At 52.9% G+C, this 17,491-nt stretch overlaps 1 protein-coding gene and 1 long non-coding RNA gene across 13 annotated transcripts in view, besides 9 other annotated features; one reads left to right on the top strand and one right to left on the bottom strand.

Moving 5' to 3' along the window:
• The window catches only part of SMG6 (SMG6 nonsense mediated mRNA decay factor), a 243,947-nt gene that overhangs the window by 222,668 nt on the left and 3,788 nt on the right, over positions 1-17,491 (top strand). For all 12 annotated transcript variants that reach the window (XM_011523769.3, XM_047435696.1, XM_005256569.5 and 9 more), the window contains 3 exons: positions 12,187-12,340; positions 15,439-15,650; positions 15,964-16,045. In XM_011523769.3, coding sequence (XP_011522071.1) covers positions 12,187-12,340; positions 15,439-15,650; positions 15,964-16,045 — 448 coding nt within the window. The remainder of the gene's footprint in view (positions 1-12,186; positions 12,341-15,438; positions 15,651-15,963; positions 16,046-17,491) is intronic.
• Positions 4,523-5,213: an enhancer, noted in NCBI's record as "H3K4me1 hESC enhancer chr17:1979199-1979889 (GRCh37/hg19 assembly coordinates)". NCBI's record gives its function as "activates a minimal SCP1, AML or CMV promoter by ChIP-STARR-seq in primed H9 embryonic stem cells {active_cell/tissue: H9 hESC(primed)}" and the evidence as "EXISTENCE:reporter gene assay evidence [ECO:0000049][PMID:30033119]".
• Positions 5,214-5,903: an enhancer, noted in NCBI's record as "H3K4me1 hESC enhancer chr17:1978509-1979198 (GRCh37/hg19 assembly coordinates)". NCBI's record gives its function as "activates a minimal SCP1, AML or CMV promoter by ChIP-STARR-seq in primed H9 embryonic stem cells {active_cell/tissue: H9 hESC(primed)}" and the evidence as "EXISTENCE:reporter gene assay evidence [ECO:0000049][PMID:30033119]".
• Positions 5,358-5,437: an enhancer, noted in NCBI's record as "active region_11467". NCBI's record gives its function as "activates an Ori minimal core promoter by ATAC-STARR-seq in GM12878 lymphoblastoid cells {active_cell/tissue: GM12878}" and the evidence as "EXISTENCE:reporter gene assay evidence [ECO:0000049][PMID:35858748]".
• On the bottom strand, positions 8,154-9,522 carry LOC107984988 (uncharacterized). Its single transcript, XR_001752757.2, has 2 exons — positions 9,398-9,522; positions 8,154-9,202 (listed from the first exon to the last, which is right to left on the bottom strand). It is a non-coding gene; the product is annotated as an uncharacterized LOC107984988 (long non-coding RNA).
• Positions 8,720-9,919: an enhancer, noted in NCBI's record as "CDK7 strongly-dependent group 2 enhancer chr17:1974493-1975692 (GRCh37/hg19 assembly coordinates)". NCBI's record gives its function as "activates an origin of replication core promoter dependent on BRD2, BRD4, P300/CBP, MED14 and CDK7 cofactors, with strong dependence on CDK7, by STARR-seq in HCT116 cells {active_cell/tissue: HCT116}" and the evidence as "EXISTENCE:reporter gene assay evidence [ECO:0000049][PMID:35650434]".
• Positions 10,290-10,349: an enhancer, noted in NCBI's record as "active region_11466". NCBI's record gives its function as "activates an Ori minimal core promoter by ATAC-STARR-seq in GM12878 lymphoblastoid cells {active_cell/tissue: GM12878}" and the evidence as "EXISTENCE:reporter gene assay evidence [ECO:0000049][PMID:35858748]".
• Positions 10,670-10,889: an enhancer, noted in NCBI's record as "active region_11465". NCBI's record gives its function as "activates an Ori minimal core promoter by ATAC-STARR-seq in GM12878 lymphoblastoid cells {active_cell/tissue: GM12878}" and the evidence as "EXISTENCE:reporter gene assay evidence [ECO:0000049][PMID:35858748]".
• Positions 15,254-16,007: an enhancer, noted in NCBI's record as "H3K4me1 hESC enhancer chr17:1968405-1969158 (GRCh37/hg19 assembly coordinates)". NCBI's record gives its function as "activates a minimal SCP1, AML or CMV promoter by ChIP-STARR-seq in naive H9 embryonic stem cells {active_cell/tissue: H9 hESC(naive)}" and the evidence as "EXISTENCE:reporter gene assay evidence [ECO:0000049][PMID:30033119]".
• Positions 15,805-15,967: a silencer, noted in NCBI's record as "fragment chr17:1968445-1968607 (GRCh37/hg19 assembly coordinates)". NCBI's record gives its function as "represses an EF-1alpha promoter that drives an FKBP-Casp9 reporter gene in an ReSE screen in HepG2 liver carcinoma cells {active_cell/tissue: HepG2}" and the evidence as "EXISTENCE:reporter gene assay evidence [ECO:0000049][PMID:32094911]".
• Positions 16,614-16,783: an enhancer, noted in NCBI's record as "active region_11464". NCBI's record gives its function as "activates an Ori minimal core promoter by ATAC-STARR-seq in GM12878 lymphoblastoid cells {active_cell/tissue: GM12878}" and the evidence as "EXISTENCE:reporter gene assay evidence [ECO:0000049][PMID:35858748]".

Raw genomic sequence — 17,491 nt, 5'->3', positions numbered from 1 at the left:
GCCACCCACTCCGCTTCTTTAAGGATGCCCATTTCCAACCCTGTCCTTTGGCATAGGGTTTGATGCATGTGATCAGGCAGACCCAGTGACAGTCTAGGCCCTGCCACCTAAATAGCTTTGTAACATGGGGCAAATCATTCAGCTTCTCAGAGCCTGTTTCCTCATCTGTTAAATGAAAGTGCTGGCCGGGCGCGGTGGCTCACGCCTGTCATCCCAGCACTTTGGGAGGCTGAGGCGGGCGGATCATGAGGTCAGGAGATTGAGACCATCCTGGCTAACATGGTGAAACCCTGTCTCTACTAAAAATACAAAAAATTAGCTGGGCATGGTGGTGCACACCTGTAATCCCAGCTACTCAGGAGGCTGAGGCAAGAGAATCGCTTGAACCCGGGAGGCGGAGGTTGCAGTGAGCCAATCTTGCACCATTGCACTCCAGCCTGGGCTACAGGGTGAGACTCCATCTCAAAAAAAAAAAAAGAAAAAAGAAAAAAGTGCTAATAGCACCTATCTCTCAGAGTCACTGTGAGGCCTACACGAGACAGTGTATGTAAAGCACTTAGCATAGTGCATGGCACTTAGTATGTGCTCCATGAACGGCCACCTTTGTCTGATATTTGTCTAATCACCCTGGCCAGGGAAGAGGAATAAATACCAATCGAGAGCCATCTTTTTTTTGTTTGTTTGTTTTTGTTTTTGTTTTGAGACAGAGTCTCGCTGTGTTGCCCAGGCTGGAGTCCAGTGGCATGATCTCAGCTCACTCCAACCTCCACCTCCCGGGTTCCAGCGATTCTCTTGCCTCAGCCTCCAGAGTAGCTGGAATTACAGATGCCTGCCACCATGCCCAGCTAATTTTGTATTTTTAGTAAAGACAGGGTTTTGCTGTGTGTGCCAGGCCAGTCTTGAACTCCTGACCTCAGGTGATCTGCCCGCCTCTGCCTTCCAAAGTGCTGGGATTACAGGCATGAGCCGTCACACTGGCCAAGATCCATCATTCTTTTGTTTTGTTTTGTTTTGTTTTGTTTTGTTTTGTTTTGTTTTGTTTTGAGATGGAGTCTTGCCCTGTTGCCCAGGCTGGAGTGTAGTGGCGCAATCTCAGCTCACTGCAACCTCTGCCTCCCGGGTTGAAACGATTCTCCTGTCTCAGCCTCCCAAGTAGCTGGGATTACAGGCGCCTGCCACCATACCCAGCTAATTTCTGTATTTTTAGTAGAAATGGGGTTTCACCATGTTGGCCAGGCTGGTCTCAAACTCCTGACCTCAGGTGATCTGCCCGCCTTGGCCTCCCAAAGTGCTGGGATTACAGGCGTGAGCCACTGCGCCCAGCCTCCATCATTCTTTAGACAGATTCACGTCCCTGCTACCATTGGAATCAGTGTGTAATACCTCTACCAGCATCATCCATTGTCATGTGGCTGCCTCCCCAGCCCTGCTGTGGGTCTACATGTAAACTTGTGCATGATCCTCAAAACAGCTTTATCCTCATGCTTCTTTTACTTTTTTTTTTTTGAGATGGAGTCTCGCTGTCGTGATCTCAGCTCACTGCAACCTCCACCTCCCAGGTTCAAGTGATTCTCCTGCCTCAGCCTCCCAAGTAGCTGGGATTACAGGCATGCACCACCACGCCCAGCTAATTTTTTTTGTATTTTTCGTAGAGACCAGGTTTCACCATGTTAGCCAGGATGGTCTCAATCTCTTGACTTCGTGATCTGCCCGCCACGGCCTCCCGAAGTGCCCTTATGCTTCTTTTCTTGCTCTTCCTTACCATCTGTTTTCCCAGAAATTCTGTTTCTACCGTTATTTCTTGACTCTCAACCCAGCAGTTATGGAAACTGTTGCGTCAAAAGTCACCAATATGGCCAGGCACGGTGGCTCACGCCTATAATGCCAACACTTTGGGAGGCCACGGTGGGTGGATCATTTGAGATCAGGAGTTCGAGACCAGCCTGGCCAACATGGTGAAACCCTGTCTCTACTAAAAATACAAAAGTGAGCCGGGTGTGGTGGCGGGTGCCTGTAGTCCCAGCTACTCGGGAGGCTGAGGCAGGAGAATCTCTTGAACCCAGGAGGCGGAGGTTACAGTGAGCCAAGATTGCGCCACTGCACCCCAGCCTGGGCAACAGAGCAAGACTCCATCTTAAAAAGAAAAATCACCGATGACCTATCTTCATCAAACCTTAGTCTGTGTCATAGTTGACCAATCACCAATGACCTATCTTTATCAAATTTCAGTCTGTGTCATAGTTGACCTCCCTTTGTCTTTGGGCCCTAAAGCCACCTTCCTTCAGCTTCCCTTCAGCATCGATGAATGACCCCTTGTCTTCTCCCTGTTCGCCAGACCACCCTCCTGGGCTTCCTCACCACCATTCTTTTTTTGGTCTCCTCCATCCTTCCTTTTACTCCTTAGTCTCAGCAAGCTGAGTTAGTGCTCAGCAGATATGTATTCAGTGGCTGGGCGCAGTGGCTTATGCCTGTAATCCCAGCACTTTGGGCAGCCGAGGCTGGCAGATCACTTGAGGTCAGGAGTTCAAGACCAGCCTGGCCAACATGATGAAACCTCATCTCTACTAAAAATACAAAAACTAGCTGAGTGTTGTGGCGGGTGCCTGTAATCCCAGCTACTCAGGAGGCTGAGGCAGGAGAATCACTTCAACCCAGAAGGTGGAGGTTGCAGTGAGCCGAGATCGAGCCATTAGACTTTAGCCCTGGGCGAGACTCTGTCTCAAAAAAAAAAAAAAAGTATTCAGTGACAATAATAGTAGCAACTAGAGCATCATCTTAAATTCCACTCTGGCTTTTAACCCCTAGTATCTAATTTCATATTAAATACTATTTATTCACACATTTATTCCCTCTTCTCCTCTCTGTTTCCATTGCCACTACTACTATTCTAGGTCAAGTAGTTGCTTAGAGTGTAGCAGTCAAGGCCCCTGCATTGCACAGCCCCAGAAGGTGCCATTTGCCTTGTTTCTGTAAGTGGCACCTCCTGGAGTTTGTAGCATACCAGGCTCCTGCCCACCAGGCTCCTATTCACTGCACTGCCTCCATCATTCTCTTCCTGAAAGAGCCACTCCCCTGCTCAGAAATCATCAGGCCTTTGCTTGGCTAGTAAAAAAAAGTCTTAATTCCCTATTATTGGCATTTAAGGCTTTTTGATCTGTTCCCAGTCTGTTTTTCCAGCCTCTTCTCCCACTACCCCATCCCTCATGAACCCTTACTAGTTATATGACATTGGGCAGATTATTTAACTTTTCTGAGCCTGTTTCCTCATCTTTATAATGAAAGTAATGCCAGACACAGTGGGCACGTGCCTATGGTTCCAACTACTCAGGAGGCTGAGGCTGGATGATAGCTTGAGCCCAGGAGTACAAGGCTATGGTGTGCAGTGATCATGCCCGTGAATAACCACTGCAACATAGCAAAACCCCGTCTCTTAAACACTTTTTTAGTGAAAGTGGTAAAAGCACCAATATTAGAGCTGCTGTGAGGCCTCGGAATGAACCACAGTGCACGTAAAATGCCTGTGCAGACACTAAGGCCCTCCTGCCTGGACAGTGACACCCACCTTCCTTTCCACTCCCTAGGCATGCTCTGCCTTTTTCCACTCGGGTTTTTGTTCATGCTGTCCCTCAAAGCAGAGTGCCCTTTTTCTGCTCCATATGTCTTGTTACCTGTCGAAATTCTATTCCTCCTTCAATCCCCAGATGAAACTCCACTTCCCCAGTGAAGCCCCCCCTGGTCTCCCCCAGGAGGAATCCGTCTGCCTCTGCTTAGCGTTCCTGTGACACTCTTCAGGCTTCATTTGTGGACCTGCCATCATGTCTCATGTTCCAGTTATTTCTGGACTTGTTTCCCACATTGTCTGTGCACTCCTTGGAATCGGGAGGCATGTCTTCAGCTCAGTTTAGCAAGCGGCATTGAGCATTTACTGTGCCAGTGTCTGGGGGACACAGAACTAATCACATTCCAGAGTGTACAGTGGTACAGTGTGGTAGAGTCCTTGACAAGTGATTTGAAGTGTGAATGAGCGTCCGTACAAAACGCAAGTCCAGGATGCCGAGGGAGCACATGCTGCCAGGATCCATCCGCTTCTGGAGCTTGGTGTTTAGCTTTGCCTCTCCAGCGACCAGCAGCACCTTCAGAATTGGAGGTCTCCTCCAACGCTTGACTTCCCGTGCGCCTGGTGGGCCCTGTCCAGGCTGCCTGTTCTCCTGATCAGCTCCTTCTGAGGAAGCTGCTTAGGCCCAAGCATGGAAGGCCTGCTGCGGGCCAGCTGGAGTTGGGGTTGCTGTGGCCCCTTTAAGAACAGGCCCCACATGCACCAAGCTGGCGGCCCTGCCTCCTGTCAGCCTCCTTCCTCCAGCCTCACAGCCACAAGAGGATTTCTCAGCAGAGGAAAAATTCCCCCCTTCCCTTCCCCACCCCGCTTTAATGCCCGGGGCCCTTCACTTCCATAATTCTTCATTTTCCAGCCTTGAACGTAAGCCAGACACATCTGTCTGGCCATATGCGTGAACCCTGGAGTCTGTGCCGAGGTGGCTGTAAAACAGGGCCGGTGAAGGCCCTTCTGGGAGAGCACACACATGTGTGCCCTCAGGCCATTGGCTTCCTGCCCAGAACCACGGGGGCTTCAGTGCTCCAAACCCATGCTAACCTTTTCTCATTTTTCCTCTTTTTGTTTAATTTAAGGGGGGAAAATCCAAGGAAAAGGTATAAATTGTCCTGGGAGTTGGGGAGAGGCTCCTAGCTGGAGAGGCCATTATTGTTGGCAGGTACCTGGGTCACACTAATACAATAAGGAAGAAAGGAGCATCGAGTGAATTAAGATTGGAGGGATGGGCTGTAAATTACCCTGCTCTGAACTCCATCAGTCTCCAGGGTGTTAACCGAGAGGTGTAAGGCAAGTCCCCGTTCCCAGCGCCTCTCACAGATGTGGCAAAACAGGAACCACGCATGTTTGGGGAAGGGGATGTGAAGATGGGGTTGAAAAAAATCCTCCTGGCCCCCAGGATAGCTATAAAGTCCAAGTGAGATCTGGGGCTGTAACCACACCCCCACTTCCCTGCTCTTACCTAGACCCCTGGGCCGCCTAAGCTCTTCTGTGAGCATGGGGGAGGTGAGGCCTGGTCTCCCTCTGCAGCCTGTCCCTCCCTGCTTCCGGCGTTGCACAGAGGCTGGTGAGTGGGGCCGACTGGAGGTCAGAAAAGGGGTGTGGGGAGCTCTCAGAGCCTGTGCAGCTGGAGCTGCAGCGCCCAGGCAGGCCCCTGGATGCTGGGGGCGCCAAGTCCGCCCACCCAGGGCTTTGAGGCCACACTCTCCGGCTCAGCCCACGCTCTGTCTTGTTGCCTGAGACAGCTCCTCCTGTGGGTTCTGCCCACCTTGCTGCTTTTCTCCTGAGTTCTTTTTGTTCCCATTGCCATTTGGAGTTGTTCAGAGACCAGGGCAGGGTACATGGTTTGGGAAGTTGGTCAGAAGTGTTTGATTCCTAACCAAACCACCAGGGCAAAGCAGTCACTGAAAATGCTCCTCCAGGCATGAGGCGTGGCCTCTTGGCACCTCATGCTGGCCCTGGCCCTGTGAATCCCCCGCTTCCTCACTGCCTCTCTGAGGCTTTGCTGTGATTTGTGCTGCTGTCGGGCGGGGTCAGGTTTCCTGAGCAGTTGCAAACATCCCACCTGAAACATAACAGGCTCTTCCTCTGGCCACATCTATTGTTTCCCTCAGCATTATGGCCACAGTCTTGCTCTGTGGCCAGCAATGACATGTGTTCTCAAAATAGCTTCTCTCCCCTGTCCCTTTCCCGCCCACCCGCCCTCCTGAAGATGTAGTCCCTCCTTTGTGGTGGCCCCAGGAGTTCCACTCTAAATTTAGCTGCCGTCCATTCATACTGCCACCCAGCTAGGGGGGGCTGTTGTGGAACAATGGGGTATACACAGAGCCCCCCACACCTGTATGGAAGCTGGCGGAAGGCAGACACTCAGGCCTGGCTCCTGGCTGTCGGAGACAGGGTGGGAGCCAGCACAGCACCAGGCCGGGGGCACGTTCACGTCAAGGCAGGAAAGCACATCAGCCTGTGGAGCGGGCATCCGCCCTTCCCACCCAGACCCGCTCCAGCCTCCCCAAAACCTGAGTGCTGGGCCCCAGCTTTTGCTCCAGCACCATCCACTGGGGGCCTGGCTTCCCACAGAGTGGCCAGGCCACTGTCTGAAACGCCCTCAGGCTGCTGCTCAGAGCAAGCTCAAAGGTGTCATGCTTAGCCCTGCCCCTCCCTCTCCATCAGGAAAGGGCCTGCCTGCTTCTTTGGCTTTTTAGATCAAGTTATCAGTTAAAATTCAATCCGATTATCTTTAAGTGCCCTTCAGCTCTGAGAGCCAGTGACTGAGCCCACTGTCCCCCGAAGTCCTATGATACAACAGGCGGTATGGGAGGTATGACAATGGAAACTGCAAGAAAAGTAGGCAGTTCTCCTTGAGCACTTGACAGTCTAGTTTGAAAATAAGATGAGTCCTCCTAAAACAGTAAGAAATAGCAAACAAATTGCCATAGTTATCACTTTTAAAAAGAGTGCAAGAATATATTAAGCTCTGTGGTACATTTGGACATCCAGAAAAGGAGTTCTAAGCAGCAGTTTTTCATTTGCAGTGTACCCCAAATGAAGATGCTCCTCCTCCTGCTCCCAGGGGATGCTGCTGGTGGCTCTGCCTGCCTTTTCTAGCACCCTCAGTATCTGCCCTCGTTGGCTTCTGCTGGCCCAGGATGAACAGTTAGCCAGTGCTTATCTCACCCACTGTTCCTATTTTTATTTTATTTCCAGTTTTTCATGTACATCCACATAGTTAAGATACATATATACAATAAGTCTTTTCATAGAAATCAGAAGCGCGGGCATGGTGGCACACACCTGTAGTCCCAGCTACTCAGGAGGCTGAGGCGGGAGGATCACTTGAGCCTGGGAGTTTCAGGCTACAGTGACCTGTGATCGCACCACTGCACTCCAGCCTGAGTGACAGAGTTAGACTCTCTCTCTCTCTTTTTTTGAGATGGAGTTTTGCTCTTATCACCCAGGCTGGATGGAGTGCAGTGGCATGGTCTCGGCTCACTGTAACCGCTGCCTCCCGGGTTTAAGCGATTCTCCTGCCTCAGCCTCCCGAGTAGCTGGGACTACAGGCATGTGCCACCATCCCCGGCTGATTTTTGTAGTTTTAGTAGAGATGGGGTTTTACTATATTGTCCATGCTGGTCTCAAACTCCTGACCTCAAGTGATCCGCCTACCTCTGCCTCCCAAAGTGCTGGGATTACAAGCACGTGCCACCACGCCTGGCTAATTTTTATATTTTTAGTAGAGATGGGGTTTCACCATGTTGGTCAGGCTTGGATGAGACTCTGTCTCTTTTTTTTTTTTTTTTTTTTTGAGACGGAGTCTCGCTCTGTTGCCCAGGCTGGAGTGCAGTGGCACCATCTCGGCTCACAGCAACCTCTGCTGCCTGGGTTCAAGCAATTCTCCTGCCTCAGCCTCCCGAGTAGCTGGGATTACAGGCATGAGCCACCACGTCCAGCTAATTTTTGTATTTTTAGTAGAGACGGGGTTCCGCGATGTTGGCCAGGCTGGTCTCGAACTCCTGACCTCATGATCCACCCGCCTTGGCCTCCCAAAGTGCTGGGATTATAGGCGTGAGCCACCGTGCCTGGTCTGAGACTCGTGTCTCTTTAAAACAAAACAAAACAAAACAAAAAAACGCTGGGCACAGTGGCTTACGCCTGTAATCCCAGCACTTTGGGGGACCGAGGCGGGCGGATCACCTGAGGTCGGGAGTTTGAGACCAGTGTGGCCAACATGGTGAAACCCCATCTCTACTAAAAATACAAAAATTAGCCGGGCGTGTTGGCTCACGCTTGTAATCCCAGCTACTTGGGAGGCTGAGGCAGGAGAATCGCTTGAATCTGAGAGGCAGAGATTGCAGTGAGCCGAGATCACGCCACTACACTCCAGCATAGGCATCAGAGCAAGACTCCGTCTCAAACAAAACAAAACAAAACAAAACAAAAAAAACACATCAGTAGTCCTCTGCTCCACCCCTCCTCATCCCCAGTTCTATTTCCTGGTGGTTTCCCCCTGATATTTATGCTCTGGATATGTAGAAAATAAAAAATAGAGTTAGGAAGGAAGAAAGGAAGCTGGCATTTATTGAGTTACTAATATGTGTCAGGCACTTTGCTAGGTACTTTCATATATAAGGTGAATGTGGAAATTTCCTGTGTTACAAAGCTTCTAATTTCTGTTGAAGACATTGCTCTGGCCAGAGAGGCTCAGGGATGAATGATTCTTCACCCTGTAGAGGGAAGGAAGCAGCCGCACTCCCTATGGGAGCCCCTAAGCAGAAGGAAGACCTCAGAAGGCCCTCTCCTGGTCTTGCTCTGCTTCATGATCCAGGTTCTCCAAGTGCCACACCTCCTGTGTCAGCTCATTGAATTGCTGTTACTTGTAATGTTCAGTGTCTCAGCTTGCAGCGGTAAGCATCATAAGATCATCTCCACCGTAGAGAAGGAACTTAACCTGCAAAAGTTTTTCCTGGAGACCCAAGCCTGTTAGCTTCCTCCTTAGGTATTATTGTATATGATCTCTTTCCCAGTTCTCTGCCAGCTTGCTCCAGGAAACTCCCATACCTTAGAGAAAGTTAGTTACTTAGCACCTTCCAGAAACAGAATTATTTTTTTCTTCCACATTTTATGCCAACTTGGGTCCTTATTGCTACCAACCTGATTCAGAGTGTCCGTGTGTTGCTTGGGTTCCAAGGGCACTATCCAGGGATCACTGTGGCCCAACCTCAGCTGCTGTTAGAAGGTTCCTGTGGAACTCTCCTTCCGGGTCAGCACGCTTGACTCCATGCCAGGGCCAGTCTGTCTGAACCACAGCATTCCGGTTGCACCCCCCTCACCCCCACCAGAGGCTTCTGCAGCTTTTTACTCATACAAACAAAAATAAACCTCACTACCGGCCTCTGAACTCTGCAGCGGCATGCTTCCCCTGCTCCCCAAGTGTCCCATGGCTGCGAGTGGGGACTTGGCACTCTCCCCACCGACATCACTTTTTCACTCCCTGCGCATCCTGTGTCCTCCTCTTACCGTGCGACCCAGAGATCGGAATGGGACGTGACGGCCGGCACAGGCGCCGTGCACAGCTGCCAGGAATCTGACGGGTAAAATCTGGAAAAGTTGGGAGGGCAGATGCTAAACACACACACACACACAGCGCCACTCAGAAAGGGCCGGAAATGCAGACACCCGTAGAAGGGTGCCTGTGGACTCCGAAGCCCTCCTCCGCCTGCCACTCTTTTTAAGGGGACTGAGCCAGTCTTGTGACCCAGGTGTGACCCCCCCCGCCCAGAGGCCCACCGGTACCCCAGGAGAAAAGGGAGCAGCTTCATCTCATCTCCTGAGACTCCATGAGGGCATGCGGGGAACAGGAAGCAGTTGTTTGGTGACTCACTGGGCAGAGCCAGGTTAAGGGAAGTTGTCTGCGGGCGTCCCTGGGACCGGATGATGGCAGCACAGCTCTGACCACCCTCACGGGGCTTGGCCCCACCCCACACCCAGGGAAGCCCCCTCTGAAAGGCTGCGGCCTATTCACCTTTCTAGCTGCAAGCCAGAGCTAAGAACCCGGGGAATTTAGAGCGTCTCTGGACCTCGCTTCTAGATTTTTCTTCTGTCCTGCCATCAGAACACACAGGTAGGCTCAGTTTGTCCCCAGCATCCCTCAGCCACCTGGCTTCAAGGCTCTCCTGCCTAATTGCCAGCAATAGAGGTAGGATGGTACCAGGGCTTAGGAGCTGACTGTTCACATAGGGTAAAAAAAAAAATGGCAGCCACTTCCTTGATAGAGTCAGACCAGGCTGGACGGTTGTTTCTCAAGGCAGGAGAACTGAGATGGTAGTGGACTTGCGGGGCAGAGGCAGAGGCAGAGGCGCAGTGCAGAGCCGGACCCCCAGCCCCTGTCACTCCAGCTGCCACTGCTCCCACGTCTCCCTAAGCCATGCTTGTTCTGTCCCTGCTCACCCAGAAAGACAGATTTGAGAGCCACGGTACCAGGAGAGCATGCCTGGCAACAGAAGAGCTAGACGGAGAGCGCATGGCCTGAGAAATGAGGAACGAGAGTGCTGATGCTCCTCCGCAAGAGGAGAAAGGGCAGAGGGGTTTACTGAACCTGAGCAGGGACCATTTCCTGTTCTTACAAACTGCCCAAGCCAGGTTTGTTGGAATGCCTGTCACCCTCTAGGTGGCAGCCCTATGTAGAGGGTCAGTGACCCCGCCTCCCATGGGAAGGTAGCCCGCAGTAGTGGCACCTTGCTCTCATGAGGTGAGATCAGTAGGAAGACTTCAGCAGAGCGGGCCCCTGAGCTGCATTTCTCATGCCTGCCAGCGTTCTGTAGCCTGTGCCTTTACCAGCTGTGGTGGCAGTGGCAGCAACAACTTACTCATAGGGAGAGGTCCCTGGCAGGTCACAGAGAAGCCACCCCCATCATTTGAAGGCATGCCCTTTCAGTTTTACTGTCATTGTCAGTGAAACCTGAGCAGCCTCCTCACTGACTGTTGGTGGCCAGGACCAGCACTGTGGGCCCCATCTCGGTTGGCACGCACGTCCACTTCCCCAGCCCTGTGCCTGCATCTGGGTCTCTGCAAGTTGCTCTGTGGCAGAAGGCCATGAGAGGGTGTGACAGGGCTGGGACCTGCCCTCCTGGCCCCGCCAGGTTTGTGTGGGTGCCCTCCACCTCCCTACTCAGGGAGCATGCTGTCTGGGCAGATGCCAGCAGATCAGTTCGATTCTTGGCCATGGTCCCCAGAAGAGGAAGCAGTGCAGTAGTGGCCATGTTCTGTAGTGGCAGACATACCCAGAGCCGGTCTCGAAGGGCCGCTGCCACACGTGTAAGGCTGTCAGAGAAGAAAATCAGGCTTTTGCAAATGTGCATCTCTCGGGAACTTCCCTGAGAAATGTGAAAGTCCACAGGGAAGGCAAGCGCTGGGCCACGTGCTTGGTGAGAGGTGCTAGAGGAGGCGGTGGGACAGTGGGGCCAAGGAGACTCTTCTGCTTTTATTCTTTTGTCTACTTTTTGTTTGGCAGTTTAGCTTGCACTAGTAAGCATATGACTAGGCTGTCAATTGCTTAGTACCACGATATGGTTGCTGAAGAAGAGGCTAAGAAAAAAAGTGACAAAGTCAGTTTAAAGAAAAACGTCGAGTAAATAATAGTGTAGCTGGTACAGATTCGTGGCAAAGGAGCAGAGGTAGAACAGAAAAGACCCGTGTTTAGGAAACTGCGCTGGTCAAGGGCAAGGTGGTGGGCCATTGTGATCGACCTGGGTGTTGCTCTTTGCAGACACATGAGTTGAGTCTTAATTCATCACATTGCACGGACTTCGGCTGCTGCTGCAGGAGAATTTCGTATTATTAGCTGTCAGTATCACTTTTTTGTATAGCCTTTGAGTTCAACTTCATTGTTCGTTGTTTGTTGTTGTTGTTTTTGTTTTTTGAGACAGGGTCTCGTTCTGTCACCCAGGGTGGAGTGCAGTGGTGTGATCTCGGCTCGCTGCAGCCTCCGCCTCCAGAGCTCAGGCAATCCTCCCATGTCAGCCTCCCAAGTAGCTGGGACCACAGGCGTGTGCCACCACACCCAGCTAATTTTTTTTTTTTTTTGTAGAGACGGGGTTTCAGCATGTTGCCCAGGGTATATTTTATTTTGTTTTGTTTTGTTTTAGCTACACAGTGAAGTAAGTCAAAATAACAGATTCTGTTTGCATTTTCATGTCTAGATTGAAAAGTACCTCCTCTGTAGGCTTTCTAGATAATGTATGTGAAACCACTTTCATATCTAAGGAACCTAATTCTCCCTTGTTGAATTTGAGTCCCAGTCTTACTTTGAGAGACCTGTTATGTTGAATATCCTCAGGATCCTTTCTCAGCCCTCGGCAGGGTTGTACCCATGCCATTCCCTGGGCCCCTTGAGCTCTGTTTTTATTGCAGTGCTATGCTCAGCCCTTGGGCCTATCCCTGAGACCCGACGGGGACTGGTTATTACTGTGGAGGGGAAGAGGTTCCTAGGGGCAGGATGCTGACACACCGTAGTGTCAGGGCCCTGGCTCACCCACCTGCTTGCCTGCTCGCTGTCTGGCTCATTCACCACTCTGTCCCCATAGGCTGTCCTGGAGGACCACAGTCAGATGAGGCAGATGGAGCTCGAAATCAGACCTTTGTTCCTCGTACCAGACACCAACGGCTTCATTGACCACCTGGCCAGTCTGGCGCGGCTGCTGGAGAGCAGGAAGTACATCCTGGTGGTGCCCCTCATCGGTGAGTCAGGCGGGAAGGGCAGAGCGGCCTTGCATGTGCACAGCAGCCCCCTCCACACACGCCCCACGGCCTGGGGGCCAGGCAGGCAGAGCCCTGCTGTGCGTGTGTAAGATGGGATTTGCAGGGGAGTAGGGAACGCGTGGGGCAAAGAAAACTGTTTAATAATCAAAGTAGTTCACATTCTCATGGCTGATCCATGGCTTAAACTGCTTGAGCAAATGGACTCCTGTGTCCCAGCAACCAGAGGCTGCATGAGCCCAGCCCTTGTTTTTATCCTTATAAAGCTTGCAGTAAAACAGCAAAGCTGGTTCCCGTTATTGGTAAACACTCAGCCCTGGCAGATAACGGCAGTGCTGCTGGGTGGTCTGGCAGGGAGGCTGGGAGGATTTTGAAGTGGTTAGATGCCTTTGGTCTGATTGTCTTGTAGCTTTTCATGATCACTCTGTTGGTTCGAGGTAGCATTCTTCTGGCCAGTGTCACCCTAAGGCTAGGCCAGCAGGAACCCTCCAGAGCAAGCCCTTGGCTCATGCCTGTGGATTCCTACCACTTGGGCCCTTACCACTGTCTGGGCCTTGGTGCTGGTGCAGGGTCAGCATCTCAGGACCCAGCTAGCTTGCTTTCCCACCCTCTAGCCAGAGAGGCCCAGCTGGGCCGTCTCCACGGGACCGTCTGGGTACCCTTAGTTCTTGGAGCTCTGTGGTGGGTCAGCCTCAGGGTGGGCTCTGGGCTCTGGGCTCATATCTAGCTGATGGCCTCTGTGGAGGGAGAGAGTCTAGGAGATGATTGGGAGGCCCAGGCGTTTGCACATCCCCTTCTCAGCAGCTACTTGGAGCAAGTTTGAGAGCCTTGTCTTCTGGAAAAGCCACCAGACTGGCAGTCTGCCTGCCAAGCCACCTTTGACATCCATGCCAAGATGTTCCATTGGGCCTTCCCTCCCAGTCCCAAGTGTCTTAGTGCCAGATGGGGGTGGAAACAAAGGGCAGGAAACATCCGCCCCTGCAGAGGCTGCAGAACCCTGGGGGGTTGTGGGAAACACGTTAGCACCACCTGAGAATGTTGGCACCGAAGCAGCCCTCCTCCCTGCCTCCACCCTCCCCGTCTTCCTTCCCCTCCCCATGTGGCCTGGCCAGAACCTCTTAAATCCAGGCCCTTAGACCTAAGGGAAGGCTTTCTGCTCTTCAACAGTAGAACAGTTTCTGTCACCAAGGCAGGGCAGCAGAACCATCACGTTGTCCCAGGCTTTCCCTTCTCCTCGCTGGGGCGGGCTGCCTTGCCGGGTCATATGTCTCTCTGCTTTCCTACCCAGGAGCTTTTCAGGGGAAAGAAAGTGTTTTGCTAGATGGTCAGGAAAGGGTACAACTGAAAGAGGCTGTGGACATCTCAGGAGCCCCCTAAGAGCCGTAAGGTGCCTCAGACGCCGTCCCAGGCTGCCAGGGTTTTTTGTCACCAGGACTGATCGTACCCCAGGCTGTGGGCTGAGTCTCCTTGTTCTTGATCCGGTGAAAGGCAGGCTGTAGCCCTTGGCCCTGAGGAGCTTAGGGTTTAGTAAGGAAATCCGGATTCGGTGGGGAGGGAGCAAACGCATGAGAAAACCCAGCAGATACATGCAGGACAAAGAGACGACGCCTAAGGGTGCTGGGAACTGACAGTTGTGCTACAGCCATACAGGCCAGCCTCTCTGGACCTGCCTCAGCTGGGCAGGCTCCTGGACTCTCCCAGAGGCTGTAAGAGGAGGGCTCCTGTTTACTGATGCTTTCCTTGGTAGACTCACGTCCTGTGCCCAGAGCAGCAAAGGGTTAAGCCGCCAGCTTTCCCTTCTTGTTTCTGGTGCTCTTTAACCTGCTCTGTGCTCCGCAGACCTGACCCCAGCGTGGAGAAGCCCCGCCTGGTGCAGAAGCACAAACAAGCTTCCTCTTTGAAGCCTGTTTAGTTTGGAAGCAGGAAAGCAGATTTTGGGATAGAATACCCGTTTTTCCTGTTTGATGTTGTTTGCTGTACCATACACCCATCTACCACTGCTTCCCAACCTCAGCCATGCACTGTGTGGACACTGCAGCCTCAGGGTGCCGAAAGCATGGGCATTGTGTGTGTGTGTGTGTGTGTGTGTGTGTGTGTGTGTGTGTGTATTCCCACATGGGCCCTTTCCAGAAAGTGTCTCCGAATACCCAGACAATGAGTGCCAGGCTCACCATGGAACAGCATGCTCACGCCGGCTCCCTGAGCCATGAATCACTGCGCTAAGGAGAGGCCTCAGACCCCAAACTCTCCCAGAGCCCCCGAGGAGCACATATTTCCCACTTGACCTCAGGCTTTTGGCTGGAATTTTGGAAAGAATCTTCACCAGAAAATGAAGCCATGTCCCAGACACATAGGGAGGCAGACAGGCACACACACACACACACACAGAGACATATACACACATGTACACACATACACGCATACACATACACACATGTACACACACACATACATGTACACACGCACACAGACACATACACGCACACAGACATACACGTGCGCGCACACACACACGTGCAGTATCAGAGAAGGTAGATGTGCCAAGGTTCTGGTCTTGAGAAATACCAGGGCCTTGCAAATGAGGCTGTGACTGCCCCTTCCTCCATGGTGACCTCCCTGCACTCCACCAGTGGGGCTGGGGGTAGAACTTTACCCCTCCTGGACTGCAGTGTGTGTGGGCCCAAGGAGTTAAGGAAGGACGCCTCCCTTTCCCTCGAGCTGCTGCATACCCTGGACTCTCCTGAGGGACCCTTTCACGTGAGTCCTGTAACCAAGGAATGCAATAGAGGGACCAGATTTCTTCCTCTAAATACAGCAGCTCCAGAAGATTCCTTTAAGTTCCTCCCAAGAGGAGGGCAGGGCCCAGGAGAAGAGACAGAAAGGGAGTAGAGCCCTGTGAAATCTCGAGACACTTCTTGCCCCCACAAGCTCCCCTCCGGCCCTAGTTTCATTGGAAGACTCCTGTGGGGGAAGGATGGATTCTGGTCTGGGAAGGTGTTGGCTGGGAAAGTGAATGGACAGAGGCCTAGGATGAAAGCTGATTGCTGAGGCTGATACCTTGTGGGGCTCTATCTCATCAGTGATCAATGAGCTGGACGGCCTGGCCAAGGGGCAGGAGACAGACCACCGGGCTGGGGGCTACGCCCGTGTGGTACAAGAGAAGGCCCGCAAGTCCATCGAGTTCCTCGAGCAGCGATTCGAGAGTCGGGACTCTTGCCTGCGAGCCCTGACCAGCCGTGGCAATGAACTCGAATCCATCGCCTTCCGCAGTGAGGACATCACTGGCCAGCTGGTGAGACCCTGTGGCAGGAAGGGAAAGCCCACAGCCAGCTTCCAGAACAAGGTCTCCAGGAAGGAAGGGCTGAAGGAGGCCCATCAGCCTGGGCAGCTGAGGGCCAGCCACCATGGAGGCCCAGGTGGGGGAGTTCCTTCTCCCCTAAGTCACTCGTAGCACAGTCAGATCAGGCCAGGCAGGGCCAGCGCATGCATGGGAGGGATCGGGGAGGTGGCCCTGCCCAGGGCCCCCGAGGCAGAGGATCCCTCCTCCTCCTCCACATGGCGCCCCCTTCTGCCCAGTGGTGCTTCTCACACACGTCTTCCTCCAGGGTAACAACGATGATCTCATCCTGTCCTGCTGCCTCCACTACTGCAAAGACAAGGCTAAGGACTTCATGCCCGCCAGCAAAGGTACAGCTTTGCCTCCGCCTTGGGATCTTCCATCCCCACTGCCCTACCTCATCCTACCCATCCTCAGCCCCTGAGAAGGGCTCCACTGACTCTGGCCTGGGAAGTCTAAGGAATCAGTGCTCAGGGCTGATGTATGCCTGAGGCCCAACCTCCCTGTCCTGGCTCCCCCAGCCCCAGGGAATGCCAGGTGCACCCTGGGCCAACTAGAGATGAGCCTAGCCCAGGAAGCCCAGCCCTAGGCCGCGAGGTTCTTCACCCCGCATGCATCCGTTTCCTTTCTTGGGTGTCCTCAGTGAGTTCCGTCTGACAGCAAGAATGTCTTTATGATTCACTGTAGCTGGTGCTGGCCATGGTCTCCCGAGCCCAGCCCTCTGCAGCTCTGAGGGCAGCCCCCCAGGGGTCCCTGGGGCACACTTCCCTTTCTTGGCCATGCTTACCTTCCTACCTTCTCTGTTCACCCCTGAGTGTTTACCCTATTTCAGGCCTGGGGCAGAGGCATTTCCCCAGTGAATAGTGGGCTTTGCTTCCTGGTCTCTTTGGTCACAAGCTGTAGCACTTTGAAGGCTGGCTAGAGTTTGAGGTTGGTGAGAGCTTGAGGACTGAGCCCTCAGCCCGGTTTTCAAGACCTTTTGGGGTAAGCAGAATCTCATCTTTGGGCCAAAGGCCCACTCTGGGTTTCTCACCCAAGCGCTTGACCACCTCACCCTCAACCCTGAGCTGGCCTTCATGCCTCACCCCACAGGTCAATGACACTAGGGTTTTCTGCTCCTGGCTCCCAGGATTCTGGCATTTTTTTCATTTGGAAGGAATTCCTAGGACCTGCCAGCTCTGTGTCATCTGCAGAGCTGGCAGTTCTCACCGTTTCGTTTCTGTCTACCTATAAGTGGTCTCTTGTCATTGCCTTTCCGTCTCTGCTGCTCTCTCCTTTCTGTGCGTGTTTCTTTCTAGCCCTTGTGTTCAGGCTGCTCTGGGAGTTGACTCTCTCCTGCGTCCTCTCCCCATACAGACACAGCCCCTCACTCCTGCATGAGTCTCTTTACTAGGGGCTGGTTACGAGCCCACAGCCGCTACTCAAGAGAGGTCCTGTCCTGCCACCAGGTTTGCATGCCATATCCCTTGGGACCAGATATGAGCATTAAAGTGATAAAAGGAGACCTGGCTGAGCCAAACAGAGGAGGTTATGTTCTGTCCCCGGCAGCTCAGTAGTCTCTGAGTATCCCCTCACCCGAGGCCACCTTCTTCTCCCCTCTGCCCACCACAGCCCCTTGCCTCCCTTCACACTCTCCTTCCTCCTGTCGTCTTCTCTCGCCACCACCAACCCCACAAGCCTCTCCCTCCCAAATCCTCCAAACTCCTCCCCAGGCTGAAAGCCAGTTCTCAGCCTCCCTGCCTGGAGCTGGCAAGCCTGAGCTTCCTAGAGGGGTACCTCCTGAGAGAAAGGTAGGC

This window comes from Homo sapiens, chromosome 17, assembly GCF_000001405.40.
Source record: "Homo sapiens chromosome 17, GRCh38.p14 Primary Assembly".
In the NCBI taxonomy this organism is placed as follows: domain Eukaryota; kingdom Metazoa; phylum Chordata; class Mammalia; order Primates; family Hominidae; genus Homo; species Homo sapiens.
Note: the sequence above shows the minus strand (reverse complement) of the source record. Positions and strands in the feature narration are given on the sequence as shown.